The 20,301-nt window shown below is 37.9% G+C and overlaps 1 protein-coding gene across 1 annotated transcript in view, besides 3 other annotated features; it reads left to right on the plus strand.

The window, feature by feature from the left end:
• The window catches only part of DNAJC15 (DnaJ heat shock protein family (Hsp40) member C15), a 90,628-nt gene that overhangs the window by 31,673 nt on the left and 38,654 nt on the right, over positions 1–20,301 (plus strand). Inside the window, exons 2-3 of the mRNA NM_013238.3 lie at positions 10,428–10,479; positions 13,672–13,745. Of these exons, the coding sequence (NP_037370.2) occupies positions 10,428–10,479; positions 13,672–13,745 (126 nt within the window). The remainder of the gene's footprint in view (positions 1–10,427; positions 10,480–13,671; positions 13,746–20,301) is intronic.
• Positions 110–159: an enhancer, noted in NCBI's record as "active region_7667". NCBI's record gives its function as "activates an Ori minimal core promoter by ATAC-STARR-seq in GM12878 lymphoblastoid cells {active_cell/tissue: GM12878}" and the evidence as "EXISTENCE:reporter gene assay evidence [ECO:0000049][PMID:35858748]".
• Positions 2,919–3,438: an enhancer, noted in NCBI's record as "NANOG-H3K27ac hESC enhancer chr13:43632313-43632832 (GRCh37/hg19 assembly coordinates)". NCBI's record gives its function as "activates a minimal SCP1, AML or CMV promoter by ChIP-STARR-seq in naive H9 embryonic stem cells {active_cell/tissue: H9 hESC(naive)}" and the evidence as "EXISTENCE:reporter gene assay evidence [ECO:0000049][PMID:30033119]".
• Positions 6,041–6,560: an enhancer, noted in NCBI's record as "OCT4-NANOG-H3K27ac hESC enhancer chr13:43635435-43635954 (GRCh37/hg19 assembly coordinates)". NCBI's record gives its function as "activates a minimal SCP1, AML or CMV promoter by ChIP-STARR-seq in naive H9 embryonic stem cells {active_cell/tissue: H9 hESC(naive)}" and the evidence as "EXISTENCE:reporter gene assay evidence [ECO:0000049][PMID:30033119]".

Raw genomic sequence — 20,301 nt, forward strand, 5'->3', positions numbered from 1 at the left:
TCTATAAAGATAGCACACCTGGTCCCAACTAAATCGTCAGGCCCTAGGAGGATAAGACATCCCCTCCTCACTGGCACCACCCCCGCCACCTGCCACTAACTCCCTCCTCACTAGCCCATTTATAAAAACCCTGACATTTTTACTAAGCAACTCACTCGGGACCCATCTCTTCAAGGGAGAGCTGTTCTTTCTTTTTGCCTATTCAACTTTGCTCCAAACTCAAGTCTGTGTGTGTAGTGTGTGTTCGCGACCTCCGTCTCCTTGACTGTTCGACCAAGAGCCTTGGTATTTACCCCAGACAACGAGGCTGCTTCAGTATCTCCCGTTTCATTTCTAATTTAGCGTATTTGGATCTTCTCTCTTCTTTTCTTGGTTAATCTAAGGGTCTACCAATTTTACTTATCTTTTCAAAGAACTGAACCAGTTTTTGTTTCACTTTTGTTTTGTTGTTGTTGCTGTTTCAATTTCCTTTAGTTCTTCTCTGATCCTTCTTTCTATTCTCTTGCTGGGTTTGGGTTTGGTTTGTTCTTGTTTCTCTTTTTCCTTGAGGTGTGACCTTACATTGTCTATTTGTGCTCCTTCAGAATTTTTGATGTATTACATACATTTTGATTTAATATTATGAACTTTCCTCTTAGCACTGCTTTTGTTTTATCCCAGAGGTTTTGGTAGGTTGTGTCACTAATGTCAGTTCAGTTCAAATACTTTTTTATTTTTCATCTTGATTTCATTGTTGACCCAAAGATCATTCAGGAGCAGGTTATTTAATTTCTATGTATTTGCATGGTTTTGAGGGTTCCTTTTGGAGTTGATTTTCAGTTTTATTCCACTGTGGTCCGAGAGAGTACTTGATATAATTTTGATTTTCTTAAATTTATTGAGACTTGTTTTTTAATTTTTTTTTTTTTTTTAGAAGGAGTTTCGCTCTTGTTGCCTAGGCTGAAGTGCAATAGTGCAATCTCAGCTCACTGCAACCTCCACCTCCTGGGTTCAAGCAAGCCTCCCAAGTAGCTGGGACTACAGGCATGCACCACCACGCCTGGCTAATTTTGTATTTTTAGTAGAGACATGGTTTCACCATGTTGGTCAGGCTGATTTTGAACTCCTGACCTCAGGTGATCCACCTGCCTCAGCTTCCCAAAGTGCTGGGGTTACAGTGTGAACCACTGTGCCCAGCTGAGACTCATTTTGTGGTCTATCTTGGAGAATGTTCTATGATGAATAGAATGTATATTCTTGCAGTTGTTGGGTAGAATGTTCTATAAATATCTGTTAATTCCATTTGTTCTAGGGTATAGTTTAAGTCCACTGTTTCTTTGTTGACTTTCTGTCTTGATAACCTGTCTAGTGCTGTCAGTGAAGTAGTGAAGTCCCCCACTGTTATTGTGTTGCCATCTATCTCATTTCTTAGGTCTAATAGTAAATTTGGGAGCTCCAGTGTTAGGTACATATATATCTGGGATTGTGGTATTTTCCTGTTGGACTGATCTTTTTATTATATAATGTCCCTCTTTGTGTTTTTTAACTGTTGTTGCTTTGAAGTCTGTTTTGTCTGTTGTAAGAACAGCCACTCCTGCTGGCTTTTGGTGTCCATTGTCATGGAATACCTTTTGCTACCCCTTTATCTTATTATGTGAATGTGAAAATTGTTTTGTTTAAGGAGGCTAAATATAGGACCCAGATTCCTTCTTGATCGTAGGGTTTCTGCTGAGAAATCTACTGTTAATCTCTGATAGGTTTTCCTTTATAGATTACCTGATATTTTTGCCTCACAACACTTAAGATTCTTTCCTTCATCTTGACTTTAGATAACCTGTGTTTGTGCCTACATGATTTTTTTGCAATGAATTTTCCAGGTGTTCTTAGAGCTTCTTATATTTGGATGTCTAGGTCTCTAGCAAGGCCAGGGAGGTTTTCCTCAACTAGTCTCTCAAATACATTTTCTAAACTTTTAGATTTCCCTTCTTTGTCGGGGACACCAGTTATTCTTAGGTTATGTCATTTAACGTAATCCCAAACTTCTTGGAGGCTTTGTTCCTTTTTTTAAATTCTTTTTTGTCTTTGTCAGTTTGGGTCAGTTTGAAAGCCTTGTCTTTGAGCTATGAAGTTCTTTTTTCTACTTGTTCGATTCTGTTGTAACTTTCCAGTGTATTTTGCATTTCCTAAGTGTGTCTTTCATTTCCAGAAGTTGTGATTGTTTTTTCTTTATGGTATCTATTTCTCTGGATATTTTTATCCATATACTGTATTATATTTTAAATTTCTTTAAGTTGGTTTTCACTTTTCTTTGGTGCCTCCTTGAGTAACATAATAATCGACCTTCTGAAATCTTTATCTGACAATTTAGAGATTTCTTCTTGGTTTGGATCCATTGCTGGTGAGCTAGTGTGGTCTTTTGGAGATGTTAAAGAACCTTGCTTTGTCATACTACCAGAATTGTTTTTCTGGTTCTTTCTCGTTTGGGTAGACTACGTCAGAGGAAAGATCTGGGGCTCAAAGGCTGCTGTTCAGATCCTTTTGTCCCATGGGGTGATCCTTTGATGTGGTGCACTCCCCCTTCCTCTAGGGATTGGGCTTCCGGAGAGCCAGACTGCAGTGATTGTTACTGCTCTTCTGGGTCTAGCCACCCAGCAGAGCTACTGGGCTCTGGGCTAGTACTGGGGAGTGTCTGCAAAGAGTCAAACACAGATGTGATCTGTGTTTGAGTCTCTCAGCTGTAGATACCAGCACCTGCTCCAGTGGAGGTAGCATGGGAGTGAAGTGGACTCTTTGTAGTTTTGTTTAGTGAGTTGGTTTTCTTGAATACTGGGTACTAGTAGTACAGTTGTTACATGGACAGACTCAGGACCTCTGGTTAGCCAGGATGCTACAGGCAGTGGAAATAGCTGTTTTCTTTTTTCTTAGAGTGTGGTTGTTCTTTTATGAGTTGCTATAATGGCTTGAGTTTGTTGGCTTCTAGCCAGGAGGTAGAGCTTTCAAGAGAGCATCAGCTGCAGCAGTATGGGGGATACAAGCTTGCCCTAAGATCACCTGGATAAGTATTTGGTTTTCTCAGCTGATGGGTGGGGACATAGAGCTCCCAAGAGATTATGTCCTTTGTTTTTGGCTGTGGGGTGGGTTGGTGTGGGTGGTGGAAGGCGGCAGTGTGTAGAGAAGGATCACCAGGTTGGGGAAGGGTGAGGCTTGTCTGACTCAGATTGTCCTTGGGCAGGGCTTGCTGTGGCCACTGTGGGGTATGGGGGTGTGGTTCTCAGCACTGGGAATTTGCCCCAGGCTATAAGCCTCCCACTGAGAAAGCAAGCATGGCTTTCAGGCTCCCTGCATGCTGCATCTTCTGTGTTCATATCTGCACTTCCTGTTTGAACCTCTCCCACCCCTTCCTCCATTCCTCCCAGGAAAATTCATGCTCAATTGAAATTATCACAAAGTTCATCTGGAACTTTCCTTCTACCTGTGGTCCTTCCCTAATTCCAGTGGCAACCCTCCCGAAGGACCCCTGTGAGATAAAGTCAGAAATGGCTTCCCTGGGGACCAGGAGTGCTTATAGGGCTCTTCCTGCTGTTGCTTCTACTTTTAATTTTCGCTCAGCTCTCTTCAGCTCTAGGTAAGGTTAAATCCTACTGTTTCCTGGATTTTCAGGTTCCCCAGTGAGGATGCATGTTCAGAGGCAGACTCCCCCTCTCACACTTTGGGCACTTAACGGTTTTTCTGCTGTCTCATGGAGTCTGCAATGGCAAGCTGCTGCTTTCAAAGGGTCTGTGAATTCTTTTGGTTTTCCTGATATGTTTCTGGAGTAGTTCTTGGAGCAAAAGTTCACGGTGTGAGTCTCCACATGCTGTTTCTGCACGTCCGAGTGGGAGCTGGAAGTTAGTCCAGCTTCCTCTCCACCGTTTTTTTCTTTTTGTTGTTTTTAAAGGTTACAAGGCCTTTGTTTTTCCTTCTGTAAAATAAGTCTTTAGAAGTAGTCTATTAATTTTATTATTAAAAACTCAAGTTTTTATTACATTATTATTGAATGAAAAAGTAAAATATATGTGACAGAACTTCTGATGTGCTCTAGGAGTTGAAGATTGAATGAGATATCCTTCAGTGAGCTCATATATTTATATTTCTTCTTCTCTTTCTTTTTTTGGAGACGGAGTTTTGCTCTTGTTGCCCAGGCTGGAGTGCAACGGCGCAATCTCGGCTCACCGCTTCCCGGGTTCAAGCGATTCTCCTGTCTCAACCTCCCGAGTAGCTGGGATTACGGGCGTGCGCCACCATGCCTGGCTAATTTTGTACTTTTAGTAGAGCCACCACACCCAGGATCTTTCTTTTTAAAGAAAGATTCTTCTGTTGGAGCTTGTGAGCTGAAGGACTTCAGGAAAACCCACGGAATCCCCTCAAATTGTATACAGATTTTTGTGATGTTTGTGTCTCACGTGTCCGTGTGAAGAGACCACCAAACAGGCTTTGTGTGAGCAACATGGCTGTTTATTTCACCTGGGTGCAGGCGGGCTGAGTCCGAAAAGAGAGTCAGCAAAGGGTGGTGGATTATCATTAGTTCTTACAGGTTTTGGGATAGGCGGTGCAGTTAGGAGCAATGTTTCGCGGGCATGGGGTGGATCTCACAAAGTGCATTCTGCAGGGTGGGGAGAATCACAAAGAACCTTGTTAAGGGTGGGAGAGATTACAAAGTACACTGATCAGTTAGGGTGGGGCAGAAACAAATCACAATGGAATGTCATCAGTTAAGGCTATTTTCACTTCTTTTGAGGATCTTCAGTTGCTTCGGGCTATCTGGATGTATACGTGCAGGTCACAAGGGATATGATGGCTTAGCTTGGGCTCAGGGACCTGACATTCCTGTCTTCTTATATTAATAAGAAAAGCAAAACAAAATAGTGAAGTGTTGGAGCGGCGAAAAATTTTGGGGGTGGTATGGAGAGATAATGGGCGATGTTTCTCAGGGCTATTCGAGCGGGATTAGGGGCGGCGTGGGAACCTACAGTTGGAGAGATTCAACTGGAGAAAGATTTTGGGGTAAGGGGTAATATTGTGGGGTTGTTAGAAGGAGCATTTGTCATATAGAATTATTGGTGATGGCCTGGATGTGGTTTTGTATGAACTGAGAAAGTAAACGAAAGACACAAGGTCCGAATAAAAGAAGGAGGAAAATAGGTATTAAAGGACTAAGAATTGGGAGTATCCAGGACATCCAATCAGAGAGTGTCCAAGGGGGTTCAACGTTATTGTTTGCTTGGTTGGCGAGTTTTTGGGCTCTATCCTTGAGTTTTTTATGTTGTCATATACCAGGCCAGATTGATTTAGGTAAAAACAACACTCTTCATTAAAAAATATACAGAGTCCTCTTTAACAGTAAGTCGAGGCCTTGGTGATTTTGGAGGAAAGAGAAATGCAAAGCCAGCAACTGTTTGTTGAAGAAGGATTAGAAACGTTTGAGGTAAAACCAGGAGCCACTAAATACCAAGAGCCTGAGAAACAGCTTGGGTGATTTGACTAATAAAGGCCGGTCTGTTATTGGACTGTATAGAGGTGGGAAGGCCAAACTGAGGAATTATGTCTGACAGAAGGGAAGAAATGACTGCGGTGGTCTTCTCAGATCCTGTGGGAAAGGCCTCTACCCACCCAGTGAAAGTGTCTACCCAGACCAAGAGGTATTTTAGTTTCCTGACATGTGAGTAAAGTCAATTTGCCAGTCCTGGGCAGGGGCAAATCCCTGAGCTTGTTGTGTAGGGAAGGGATGGGGCCTGAGAAATTCCTGAGGAGTAGCAGAATAGCAGATGGAATGCTGAGAAGTGATTTCCTTGAGGATAGATTTCCACGATGGAAAGGAAATGAGAGGTTCTAAGAGGCGGGCTAGTGGCTTGTAACTTAACATGGAAGAGGTTATGAAATGACGACAGAATAGAATGGGCCTGTGAGGCTGGAAGGGGATATTTTCCTTGGTCCAAGAACTATTTGCCTTGTGTGGGAAGAGATTGATAGGTGGAAGTTTCAGTGGGGGAGTGGGTGGGAGTGGTCAGATGAGAAGGAGAAAAGGGATAGAAGTTTGAACGCTAGCTGCTTTTTTAGTTACCTTATCAGCATAAGCATTGTCCTGAGCGATGGGATCTGATGCCTTTTGATGGCTGCTTTTTTAGCTACCTTGTCAGCATAAGCGTTGTCCTGAGCGATGGGATCTGATGCCTTTTGATGGTCTTTGCAGTGAATGACTCCAGCTTCCTTTGGAAGTAAAGCAGCTTTGAGAAGAGTTTTTATTAAAGAGGCATTGATGATGGAGGACCCTTGCATAGTGAGGAAACCTCTTTCTGCCCATATAACATCATGGTGGTACAGGATATGTGAAGTGGGAGCAGGCATTTCAAATGGCGGAAAGCAGTACAAGAGAGGGAGAGTGTGGTGGGAGGTGCCACATACTTTTCAATGACCAAATCTCATTTGTATTCAGAGCGAGAACTCACTTATCACCAAGGGAATGGCCCAAGCCGTTCATTAGGGATTTGCCCCCATGATCTACGCAGCTCCTGCCAAGCCCCACCTCATTACATTTCCACATGAGATGTGAGTGTGGACAAATGTTTAAACTATAAGGATAAAAAGCAAGATCTTTAGGAGATAAGCATAGAGATTTAGGAGATTAGCCTACCTGTCATGTTCAAGTTTCTATGTAGGACTCATATGATATAGACCCTTGGGCCAACTTTACCCTGTTGCATGCCCCGTCTCTCACATGCAATACAGTGACTGGTATGTAGTGATGATTTTATCAGTGAGGATCCTGGTAGTAATAGGTGGATTTTTTTTTTCTTTTTGAAGATAGTTTATTGAAGGGACTGTTTTCAGAGGTGTGACCATGGTTTAAGATAACCAAGAAAGGATGATGAATCACTTAGGGACTAGCAGCACTTGGAAACTGTTATTCATCCAGGTGACAGGGCAAGGGTAGAAATCATGTTCCAGAACTCAGTGAGAGTTGTAGGCATGAAAGAGGAGCCTTCTCAACAGGAGCTGTGGCCAAAAAAGAAACAAGGCAGGTAAGAAATGGGGAATAAATTATGCCATTATTTCTCTTTCCTTCCACTCTTTCTTTTTCTGCTGATGCTTCCTCTCACTGGTGAAACCCAACCAGAAGCTAAATGGCAAGTGAATCCCTAGAAATAAGGCAAGGCAGAGATGCAGAGCAAGGCAGATAAAACTAGAAAATGGGTCTAGGGGGAGACAAATGGAAATAATCAACAGAGTGCTCAATACTTATTTGTTGAATTAAACTGAATTTTTATTGTTAAAGTGGAAAACAAGCAAATGCCTGATGGTTTAATGTTTTCTTATATACAAAACTTGAAATAAAAATCTCTTTGAAATTTTGGAGGCAACTATTTCATCTTTTGAATGGTTGAAATAGTAAAAATGTTGCAATACTTAATCTATAAAAAATTAAATACTTTATATTTTTCTTTTTTCTTTTCTTTTTTTTGAGACAGAGTTTTGCTCTTGTTGCCCAGGCTGGAGTGCAATGGTGCAGTCTTGGCTCACTGCACCCTCCGCCTCCTGGGTTCAAGTGATTCTCCTGCCTCAGCCCCCTGAGTAGCTGGGATTACAGGAGCCCACCACCATGCCCGGCTAATTTTCATATTTTTAGTAGATACGGGGTTTCACCATGTTGGCCAGGCTGGTCGCAAACTCCTGACCTCAGGTAATCCATCTACCTCGGCTTCCCAAAGTGCTGGGATTACAGGCATGAGCCACCACACCCAGCCTTTATTTTTTGAGAGAGTCTCTCATCTGTCGCCCAGGCTGGAGTGCAGTGGCACAATCTCAGCTCACTGCGACCTCCACCTTCCAGGTTCAAGTGACTCTCATGCCTCAGCCTCCTGAGTAGCTGGGATTACAGGCACACGCTCCCATGCCCAGCTAATTTTTGTATTTTTAATAGAGACGGGGTTTCACCATGTTGGCAAGGCTGGTCTTGAAATTCTGACCTCAGGTGATCTGCCCGTCTTGGCCTCCCAAAGTGTTGGGATTACAGGCGTGAGCCACCGCGTCCAGCTTTTATTGATAGTATTAAAAGCAGTTCACATTTACTGATTGTTTGACATGTCCCAGGTCACTGTGCTAAATCTTTTACGTGTATTCTTATATTTTATCCTCACATAACCCTGTAACGTGTCAATACTGTTGCTATACTGTTGGGATGCATCACTGTACAAAACAAGTTCCACAAAGGCCACAGATCTTTATAATCTGATATTAATATTTCTATACCATTCTGTTGTTATTGTTAGTATTCTCTGGTTACTCTTGAAATTGAGCGCCTTTTCATATGTTTTAGCCATTTAATTTTGTGTGTGTGTTTTGTGAAATCACTGACTTAGTCTTTTGCCCGTTTTCTATTTGGTTGTCTTTTTATTATTAATTTGGAGGAAGCCTGTGTATATTTGGATATGTGCTATTAGCTATGTGTTGCAAATGACTTCTGCCATCTGGGAGATTCAAGCTGAGGTATTAAGAGCAGGTAGGATTTGGGTAGGCAAAGATGAGTGTTTCTAGTGAGATGAAAGAATAAACAAAATTATAAGGGAAGAAGATATAATTCACATATTAAATAGTTGAATAGTTTGATTGGACTAACACCAGAAAGCTCAAAATATGTAGCACCAGGGAAGCGCTAGAAAATGGCAAAAATATACCTCAGCAGAACATTTGCTTTAAATCAATACGTCTTCTATTCAGGAATAACCTATTTCAGGCAGGCTAGACAACCTGAAAGGAACCCCAAAGATAGTTTGCCTCTCTGGTAGGCAGCTCTAGGCTTTCGCTCCTCTGCCAGGGAATGAATCTTCTTTTACTGAAATGGCCTTGCTGTCATTGCCTTGTGAAAAGGTGTGACTTAAAACTGGAACTGATGAGGGGAGAAGCCTAGAGGAAAGTCCTTCCTCTTGTCCTCCGGCTCTAGATTTCTCAGAGTTTTTGCATATTAAAGTTAGAACACCTTCATGCGGCTGCCCTTGCTGACCTGATGTTTCTCATTATAGAGTCATTCCTTGAAGGTTGGGACTTTGATTTCCTATGACTTGGTGTATATTTCCCTACAGAACTTGAATGCCAATGGCTGAATGGCTTTTTGGTTTTAGCCTCCCTTTAGTCTCAGCCTCCATCTTACTATGTCTGCACCAATGAAGAAGTCTATTCATTCTGTTCCCTAGGGAGATTATGCTAGTGTTTTAAAAGTCTCTGCCGACTCTTCAGGATTTGCCTCTCCCACCATTTATCAGACAAAAATGTTTCTGTGGTTTCACTTCTTAATTTTGTATCCATTAGAATTTGTTTTGGCTCCAAGTGCCTAAAACCCAAAAATATAGTGGCTTAGGAAGATGGAACTTTTATTTTTATCCCATGTATTAATAAATAAAGGCAATTCAGGGATGGGAAGGCAGCTCTGTGATCATCTGGAACCAATGTCTTTTCATCTCATTGTTCTTCCTACTTTATCCAAGAGGGTTGCTCCAGCAGCAATGTATGCATTCCAGCCAGCAGGAAGGAGAAATGGAGAAGGACATCTCCTTACCCCTCTGTAGGACTTCTCAGAAGTTGCATACACTACTCTGGTTGTATCTTACGTGCCAACGCTTAGTTAGCATAGCCATACCTAAATCTAAGGGAGGCTTGGAAAAATATATCTAGCTAAAAACAGGAATTCCTGATCATATTGAAAAAAAAAAAAAAAGAGAATGGATATTGAGGATTACCATTGATCCTTGCCACATAAATCTTTTGTTATTGTGACACTAATAGTTTCCTGAGATGTTTAAGGAGAAAAGCTCAGAATATTGTGGGTATATAGCCAATTTAAAATAAATTATCATCAGAATTAGCTTATATCTGACATTCTGAATTTTGGACCCTTATTTTAAAATTTTTACACTGGTCTAGAAGGTAGACCTTAACTTTTGAATTTTTTATCATTTTTGATAAGTTTGGAAGCTTGACTTCTTTCCTAAACATTGATGTAAGGTTTCATGAAATTTTTAAGTATAGCAAATGCTGTTGAACATTGCAAATGTAAAATATGGAGGAGGAAATATGTGCTTTTTATCTTTATAGAAGATAAATATATTAAACCCCCTATTAAAAATCGTCTATAGAAAAAATTATAGCAATAGGTAGTATAAAAGCTCTGGGTTAGAGTGGATTCAAATATATGGAAATTAAATGAAAATCTAGAATCAGTTCACTGAGAATTAGCTGATACAGTGAGCAGCAGATATAATCCCATAGACACTGCATATTTTTTTAAGTCCTGATCTTCACAGTAGAGCTTAAAGAAAGTGTAGTATTGTAATGTAATTATTCTCATTATTAAAAATGATTTACTTTTAAAACCCAGCATGTTACATCATAAGTAATATTCATTTTTTCTTCCATAGGTAAGAAGTTTGATAGCTGTAGGACTGGGTGTTGCAGCTCTTGCATTTGCAGGTAAGATAAAGAATACATACCAATAAATTGCAGGAGAAATCTTTCCAAATAGCATCTACAGTGATTCATGAGTAGACCCTTAGTATTCTGAGGTTTTGGTTTTCAGACATAATACATTCTCATTCTTTCCACCATTTGTAGTTACTGAACATTTGTCATTGTAGCAAAATCTAGATAAACTTTATAGGGAAGAAAATTAGTGATAAAAAGCCAGAAAAACTAGCTCCAATAATAGTTTATTCCTGGCATTTTTTTTCAGTTTGAAGTATAGTATACTATAAAAAGAAATTTTAATATTATGCAATGTAAGTGGCATGGAGTGCCTTTATTCTCCCATATTTATTTTTTCTTGCAGACAGGTTTATACATTTTAAGCTGTCAGTTCTTTCTCATGAGCATAGTTGTTCCGTGTAGTTTATTGATTTGTCTCTAAACATATTGGTATAATTACCTTGATAAACCCTGGGGAATTTTTTTCACTGCTAAAATTACGTTTTTCGAAAGAATAGTTCTTTTTTTTTTCTTTTTTTTGGAATGGGCAAGACTGTGCCCCTTCCAGAGGCTCTGGGGAGAAGCCCTTTCCTTACCCTTCCTGGCCTACAGAGTTTGCCTTCATCCTTGGCTCATGGACCCTTCCTCCATTTTCAAAGCCAACAGCTTAGCATCTTCCAACCTCTGTCTGACTGTCACTCTCCTCCTTCTCTCTTAAAAAGATTTTGTGATTACACTGGGCCCACCTGGATAATCAAGGATCATCTCCCCATCTCAAGATCCTGAACCTAATCACATCTGCAAAGTCAGTTTTATTACATAAGGGTAACATATTCTCAGGTTCCAAGGATTAGGACATGGACATCTTTGAAGGCCATTATTCAGCACAGCACAATGCTAGTTTTTCTTTTTTTTGAGACGGAGTCTTGCTCTGCCCAGGCTGGAGTGCAGTGGGGCGATCTCTGCTCACTTCAAGCTCCGCCTCCCGGGTTCATGCCATTCTCCTGCCTCAGCCTCCCGAGTAGCTGGGACTACAGGCGCCAGCCACCATGCCCAGCTAATGTTTTTTGTATTTTTAGTATAAAAATACAAAATTTAGCCAGGATGGTTTCGATCGCCTGACCTCGTGATCCACCCACCTCGGCCTCCTAAAGGGCTGGGATTACAGGCGTGAGCCACCGTGCCCGGCCCATTCGAAAGAATAGTTCTGAAGATCTAAAGTAAATTTGCTGAGTCTGTCATTAACTTACAGCAGTTTTAAATTACATAGCTATATCCTAATTAAATGTTAATTTGAGAATATGTCCTTATTGATAAAGATTTACTTTTTTGTTCTAGCATTTGTGTTTGTAAGTTCTATCGGTTTGATCTTGTTAATTGGCTCTTTTAGGCAGAGCTGCATTCCATTTTGGCTATATAGAGTTTAGTAAGATCTGATAGAAAAATGAGAAATAAGAGGGTCTTGTTTTGTATGGTATTTATTTTCTCACAATTATCATTTAAAACACTATTTTAACCTTTTGTCTTGGAAATGATGAAACACTTCAACAATCAGAACTTTAAAATCTAGATCAGTGGTTCAGATTCTCTTGATGTTTTTGTCATCAAGGTCTTATGTCTCAGTTATATAACTTATACTTAATGAATTTCTGAGGTTTTATGAGAAGAATATCATGTCTCAAACAGAATTCTGACAAACTTGCCCCTAAACATAAAGGAATTTTAGTATTAATTAGAGTAGGCATAGTTATGAATTCAAATGTAAGGTTTTGATTTGAAATTAGATAAAGATGTATTTTTTCCAGGGTCGTCTTTGTAAAATGACAAGAATTGGTGTGTGTATTCTTTATAGACCACACCATTCCCAAACTCGTATTACTGACTAGAATATTATATTAAATAACAACAAGATCTCTTCCAGAGCCAAATACAACCAAATAATAGAATTTAGGAGAAAGTACACTTAGATGTGTTAGAACTAGGTCTTCTAGTTAGAGTAAACCTCCAGGTGTCACTTCTTGAAGCATTTAACTGCTTTTTAACTGAGATTAGAAGTCAGTCACTGTGGTTTTGAAGAATTTTGAGGTAATATAAAAGCTACATTTCATACTATTATAAAATCAAATGGAAGATGACATCTATGTGATAAGAGATACAGGCAAGTTAGGGAATCAGCCTCATTTAATTTCACTTTATTTAATGTTCTCCTTTATCTCAAGACCTTTTTATCTTCACATTTTCCCATTTCTGGCATCCTGTCTTTCACTGTAACATGTTTGCACAGAATAACAGTATACATAGGCAGGTAAATTTTTCTAAAACAGTATACATAGGTAGTTGAATTTTTGCAGTAGAACTCTTGATTTGCAAATAGGCTTATGGTTAGAAGTTGAATTAAAGCCTGTAGTGTCATATACTGGTTTTCTAGCAAGACTCTTGGAGAAAGAGATACTAGTAGAAGACACAATCTGATTGGGGTGCAAAAGATAAAGTAGCTAGATAATATTTTACTCTTATTTGATGCCCTCAAAATAATTTAGAACCTGTTTTACTATTGACTCTTAGTTGTTAAAACTCAGGGGAGTTTTGATTATTGGGATTCCCAACTAGGGAAAGAACTAAAAATAAGTTTTCAGAGAGAGTAGCCATCCTCAGTGAGAAAAATTGATAATTAACATCCTTGGTAAGTATTTCATATGTAATTGCTTTTTTACTTTAGAGATAATTGATTAAAACCATTTCTGTGTAGTATAGATCATAAATATAATTTGTTTTCTATATATTTCAAAGTGATTATCATAAAAAGCAATACAATTAACCATTTTAGTATTATAAGTATCTTTTATATGTAATAGGACTTTACAGTTTGTTGTATAAAGAATACTAGGATGTTATTTTTTTTGTGACCTATACCATAATATAAATGTAAGATATTACACATAAACATTGAAAATTTCTAGTTTTATGATCATAAACTAGAACTTGATAAATTTAATGGCTATGATAATGGTATTAACATGAAATTTTGCCCTCCAATAAATTAAAAATTTGAAAAAATTGACCATCTTTCTGGTAAGTTTTGAAATACTTATTGCAATAACATATATAAACTATCAATAAATACTGTTGCAAGCACTTTGAAGGTGTTGATTGATTTTGATTATAGAAAATACATTTGCTTTTATTCCCTTTACTATTTAGGTCGCTACGCATTTCGGATCTGGAAACCTCTAGAACAAGTTATCACAGAAACTGCAAAGAAGATTTCAACTCCTGTAAGTTAAACGTGGCTTTAGTTAGAAGACTCATTTTGATTTTTGTTCATATGACATATTTCAATTAACTTAGAAAATGTCTTGGATTTTCCAATGTTTGTAGAAGTTTGTTTCCTTCACTATATCATTGGTGAGTTTGTCTAATTTACTGGCTCAGTTTCTTTTAAGTTATTGGTCACATTATTTTTATATCTAACTTTATTCCTGGTTTTGACATCTAATTATTATAATCTGTTTAGTAGTATTACATCAAATTTGATGTAACTTACTTTACCCGTTTAGTTACTGTTCATTTATTCAATAAACATTTAGTGAGTCCCCCATCCCTGTGCCAGGAGCTTGGAATAGCTGATGAACAAAGAAGACATGGTTCTTGTCCTGATGAAGCTTATCCAAGAGTTGATGCCATCTTGTAATTTGAAACTAGTCCCCTTATACCATCATGCCTGGCCATCTCAAACATAAAATTATGAGATTTCAACCATGAAATCCTGTAGAACTTATTATACATTTTTGTACCAGCATTATAGCTACTCTGGGGAGCTGAATGTAAGTGAAAAAATGAATGAGAGTATGTATCCGTAAAAGCAACAGTATGGATTGTAGTTTGTAACCACTGAAGACAATATAAAGAAAAGTCAGTGAGGCCCTGCAGCGTAAACATTGGCTTCAGGGAAACAGAAGCAGATCTGGGATAGATCAACTTGGTTGAGACTTGAGATTGTCAAATTGCTGCAAACCAAGTTGATCATCCGCTATTCTGCTATTCTGAGTTCCTGGCACAGGGATGGGGACTCACTAAATGTTTATTAAATAAATGAACAGTAATTAAACAGGGAAAGTAAGTTATGTCAAAGTTGATATAATACTACTAAATGTAAAACTACTAAACTACCTACTTTATATATGTTATTTCAATAAATATTTCAAAACTTACCAGAAAGACTGTCATTTTTTCCAAATTTATAATTTATTGGAGGACAGAATGTCATGTTAATACCATTATCACAGCTATTAAATTTATCAAGTTCTAGTTCATGATCATAAAACCAGAAATTTTCAATGTTTATGTATAGTATCTTTATATTATGGTATAGGTCACAAAAAATGAATTGCTTCTTTTAGCAAAGACATTACAGGCTTGTGAGGCTTAGTTAGCCATGAATAATGACAGCACCAAAGGATGACATACTGACAAATAATTAAACTTAGATTCAAAAAAACAGCAAGTGATTTTACAGTCCTATAAATGCATGTCTGTGATTAGAGGGAACATAGGTGTATTTTCTGTTTTCCTATTTATATTTTATTTGGCTAAAATATTGGTAGGTATTCAGTAAATATTCTTTGAGCACCTACTACATACTACATTACCATAGACAGTGGGATATAGTTATGGACCAAAGACATTGCCGTCTAGGAGCTTACATGTTAGTGGAGAGACACAGTGTAAAAAAAAAAAAATGAAGTAAGATATATAATACCTAAAAGTGTCGAGTGCTTTTGAGAAAACCAAATCAGGGTAAGAGGTTAAAGAGTAACAGCAATGAGGAATCTTTACCTTAGATAGGCCAGGTAAGGTTTCTCCAAGAAGATAAGGGAGCAGGCCATACAAGCCTCTGGTGTAAGAGCTTCCTAGGTGGTGGGATCACTGCAAAGGTCCTGAGGTGCAAATGAGTCTAGCAGCAAGAGTAACTCCAAAGGAGTATATGAAGGGAATAGTGGTAGCTTGGGCCCAGATCCCTTAGGGCCTAATAGACAATGAAAAAAAACTTCAAATTTTACCTTAAGCGTGAAAGAAAGCCCTTGGAAGGGTTTGAGCATGGAGGCAATGTGATTTGTATTTTAAGTTATCACTCTGCTTGCTACCTTAGAGCCAGAGTAGAAGCTGTGAAACCAGTAAGCGGGTATTGAGATAGTCCGGGTGATAGATGATGGTGGCTTGAAATAGAGTAGTAGCAATGGACACAGTAACATAGTTCTTTAAATGAATTCTATTTATATATTTCCATATGTTTATAAATAATAAATGGAAAGAATTTCAGAAATCGTTTCTTTTCTGTTACGGTGATCTTCAATATAGTGTAAATAGAAAATTACCAAGCTGTGCAAAACTACATTATTTAACATTGTAAAGGAAGAGAGAGCAAGAAAATGAGAAAATCTTCAGTAGTTGGTAGAGGCTTACAGATAAGGCCGGGTAATTCAAGAGATTATAAGGGATATACTCATGTAAACTCTTTATTCAGTGGCTCATATGACCTGCTCCCTCATCTCAGAGGAGCCTTACTTAAGAGTCTGAGCCTGGTACCTGCGTTTCTTAAAGGGAAATGATGTGTGTACCCCCTTTTCCCTCTTTGTGGGGCTCAAGGTAAGAAACTTCGCCTTCAATAAATCTGGCTTCTTTTTCACAAAGTGCTACTCTTAAGAGTTTGCAGTAAAACATCTTAGAATATCTTTATCATTGTCATAATCATAATTATATTTTTACCTCAGGAAAGATGCAAGTACTTTTAAACAATTTTAAAACTAGTAATCATTTCCAGGGAAACTGAGAAATGAAATATGTGCATACTTTCTGTTGGTACTAATGAATCCCAGTGTCACACCTCATAAACACAGTATACACAGTGTTTTGATTTTGTAAATATTATTAATTATTGAACCAAATAGGGTTACTAAAAAGACAGGAACTGTAATTGTGGGTCACTAAATCTCTGTCATTCAAAAAAGATTGTCCAAGGCTCAAGTTTCAACGGGGGGTCTCTTTTCCTTGTTTCTTTAAACTTTATTTGCTTTCTCTAAGCTTTAACATGTTGTTTTTCAATCTTATCTCTTTTTCATACTTTTTTTTCATCTTGCTGAAATAGTGCCTTGGATAAGTCTTTTATATGGAATGCATGGATGGTAAATGTATTTTCTGCTTTGTTAAACAGTTTGTTTCTTTTGTTCTCACTGTTAATTATCAGCTGCTAGCTCCTTGAAATCTGGTGAAGCCAACATTAGAGAAGTATAGAAATCTCTGCTGAGACTAAGCCTTAGTGCCTGAACTCCCGCATTCCTGCATACTCACAGCTAGATTTTTTGGTGGTCTTATTATTCTTATTCCATTGTAGACAACCTATTGTTTTGGTTTTCTTTTGTTGTTTGGGTTTTGGGGTTTTACATTTTGGTGGTGGTGGCTTTTATTTTTAGCTCTGAAAGTTTGTAGGATTTTCTCTTTCTTACTGATGTTCTGGAATTTCACAAGAATTCTTAGTGAGCCCTAACTTATTTGAAAATGGTCTTTAGTTCTGTAAGATTTTCTTACAGTTTTTTCTTTTATTATTTCTTCCTTTCATTGTCTCTCTTTTCTGCTTCTGGAACTCTGAACAGAGAGATGAGAAAGATGTTGGACCTGATAAAAAGATGTCTGTCCTCTATGTCTCTTACCATTTTATCTCTTATTTTCCATCTCCTTATCTTTCTTTGCTCTTCATTCTACAGTATTTTCACAGCTTATTTTCCAGATCACCAGGTTGGCCTTTAGCAATGTCTATTCTGTTTTTCATCTATCCACCGAATTCTTCACATCAGCATTTTTTTTTTTTTTTTGGAGACAGAGCCTAGTAGTGCGGTTGCGCAATCTCGGCTCACTGCAACTTCTGCCTCCTGAGTTTAAGTGATTTTCCTACCTCAGCTTCCTAAGTAGTTGGGATTGCAGGCACTCGTCACTATTCCCAGCTAATTTTTGTATTTTTAGTGGAGATGGAGTTTCACCATGTTGGCCAGGCTGGTCTTGAGCTTCTGACCTCAAGTGATCCACCCACCTCAACCTCCCAAATTGCTGGGATTATAGGCGTGAGCCACTGCGCCCGGCCAACGTTAGTAATTTTCTAACTTCCAAGGATTCTTTCTTGTTTCTTTTTTCTGGCAACCCATTTTTTAATTAATGTGGTATCCTTTTGAATATTTCTAAAGCCATTAATTAGCATTTGGCCAAATTCTCTTCTGCTTCCTAATTTATCTCCTTTTCCTAAAGTCAGTTGTTATGTGTTCATATTGGTTCTTTTTTTCCCCTCCATGATAATTGGGTTTGCTCAAATGTCCAGTGATCCTTGGTTGTTGATTCATATTTATGATGACTAAATTGACTAATAGAAGTAATGTTCTTGACTTTTCTTCAGCAGTTTGGTAGGGTTGCTTCAACAGCTTAATTGAATGACAGTGTTGACAGTGGGCTGTAAATAACATAGGTGGGTTTGTTAACAGGCATGTCTTTCAGAGCAAGGAGACTAGAAGGCAGCATTGGTACCTGGAGAGTCCAGGAGAGGTTGAGCACCGTGTATATTTTACTCCTTGGCATAGCTTCTCACCTCCCTAGGCTTCTGGGTTCTGAAATGGGATCTGCTGGTATGCCTCTTTGGTTCTCTTAGTACCTACCACCCAAAATAAGATGCGTATCAGAAAAAGAGGCATATGGTTCTCTTTCTCAGCCTGAGGGCATGACAGGTACCTGGCCTCTTATGCTCTATATGAGTAGAGTAGGAATGATCTGTTTATATTGTTCTGGTTTAATAAGTTTCGCTGATTTTTTTATTGTTGTTGACTCTGAATTTAGTGTTCTTGTTTTCCTGAAAAGGGTTTCTTTTTTTCTCTGATGTTTGAAGCTGCTGGGATTTTTCTGTACATGCAAATTTTACCTAGGATTTCTTTAAACTTTCTGGTTTGCTATTTATCCCATTTCTTGTTTTCTAGGCCTATTAAGGGTGTTTTAAAATTTACAGTGTCTTTACTCATTTCAAAGGCACTTCGGAAAGCAAAAGATCTTTATGATTCAGTCTGCTCTTTTGAACAAGTGCCCTTTTGCTTGTTTTTTTGTTTTTTTTTTAAATTAATGTATTAATGTATATTATTGACTCAGCCAATGTCTAATTACCCTTAAATTTTTTTCTGGGGGAGAAAACCCATCCTTCTTCTTTTTTTTTTGAGGCTTTGAATTTTCTATTTGTGAATCTGTCCTTTTATTTGAATATAATTTTTTAAATTGCATTTATTTTGTTTTATGATCAAGTGAAATTTATGGAAAAATATACTAATTAAATCATCCTTTGTTAGCTTTAAATCAAATAGATTATTGTACATAATAAAGTTTATAGTTTATGATAAATGTATTCTTTTAAAACTATGGGATGATCCAGTTCTTCTCTAGTTGTCTGGAGGACTTTTGTGTTTCAGGCTATTGAGTGAATGAATTAGCTAATGAATACTTTGGTTTAACTTAGCAAAGGAGACACAAAATAATCTAACATGGCACTATAGCATTTATTGCTAATTTTAGAAGGAAAATGATTTTGATTTCTGTCATTTATATATACAATATTTTATGAATGGGATAGTACAAAATAATCATTTGTAAGGTCCAGGATGTGTTTCTGTTTTCAGAAAAAAAGGACCATTTACTCCATCTATTTGATGGTATACTTGTTCCTTACAGTAATCTCATTTTTTGGATCTAAACATTTTCTTTGACCTACCACAGTGTTGTCAGAAAATGGTTCTGCAGTGGCTTATACCTGTAAGTCCTAATATAATGCAATGTGGGTATATTATTTTCAAGCTTAAAAGGACCTTTCAGTTTTATTAGTGGGGAGGAGTACAGAGTTACAATTTTGTGCTTTCTCATGACATAGATATTAATTCAAACATAATAATGGATTAAAATACTGTGATAACAGTTTTGTTCTATTTAAAGTTATATAAGACCTAAATTTTCTAGAAGTTTAGGAAGCATGATTTTCTCTGAAGAAATGTGTAAATACAGTTGACCCTTGAACAACCTGGGTTTGAACTGCACAGGTCCACTTAATCATGATTTTAAAAAATAAACTCAATGAGCCCTCCATGTCTGCAATGAAATGTAGATCAAAAATGTAGTATTCATGGGATGCAAAACTCACCTATGCTGAGGCCAACTTTTTGTATCTGTGGTTTCTGTAGGGCTGACCGTGGTGCCTGAGTGCAGATTTTAGTATGAGTGGTCCTGGAACCAGTCACCCACAGATACTGAGGGTTGAATGTATTTTAGTAGTGTGTAACATAGCAATTTTTTGTTTTCTCTTTGTATACTTTTCTGCACCCAGCCCCACATGTTAAGTCTCTATTCTCAAAATGGTCTAGATCTTTTTGGAAGGGTTGTGTTGATTATATGTATATACAGATTGACTTACTCGTAATAAAATCAGTGTTCATATGAACTTCTTCCCGACACTAGATTTTTGGCAGCCTTTTCTGAAACTCTATGTCTACCTGGGCAAAACTGAAAGTGAAAAAATTGCTCAGATACCAATACCTGCTTTTAAGATTAATGAGCTTGGTGACTATAGTGGGAATGACAGTTTATGAAACATGATAAATTTATCTTTTTTATTATGCTGGCTCCAAATTTTAGAGCTCCCTAAGGTAAATAAAGACTCATTGAAATATTTTTTTCCTGAATAAAGAATTATTCTATGTAGTAGTTCAGGCATGATTTAAAAACAAAAGTAGGAGCAAATATTTGGTGATACTTCTGTTT

Source organism: Homo sapiens, chromosome 13, assembly GCF_000001405.40.
Source record: "Homo sapiens chromosome 13, GRCh38.p14 Primary Assembly".
In the NCBI taxonomy this organism is placed as follows: domain Eukaryota; kingdom Metazoa; phylum Chordata; class Mammalia; order Primates; family Hominidae; genus Homo; species Homo sapiens.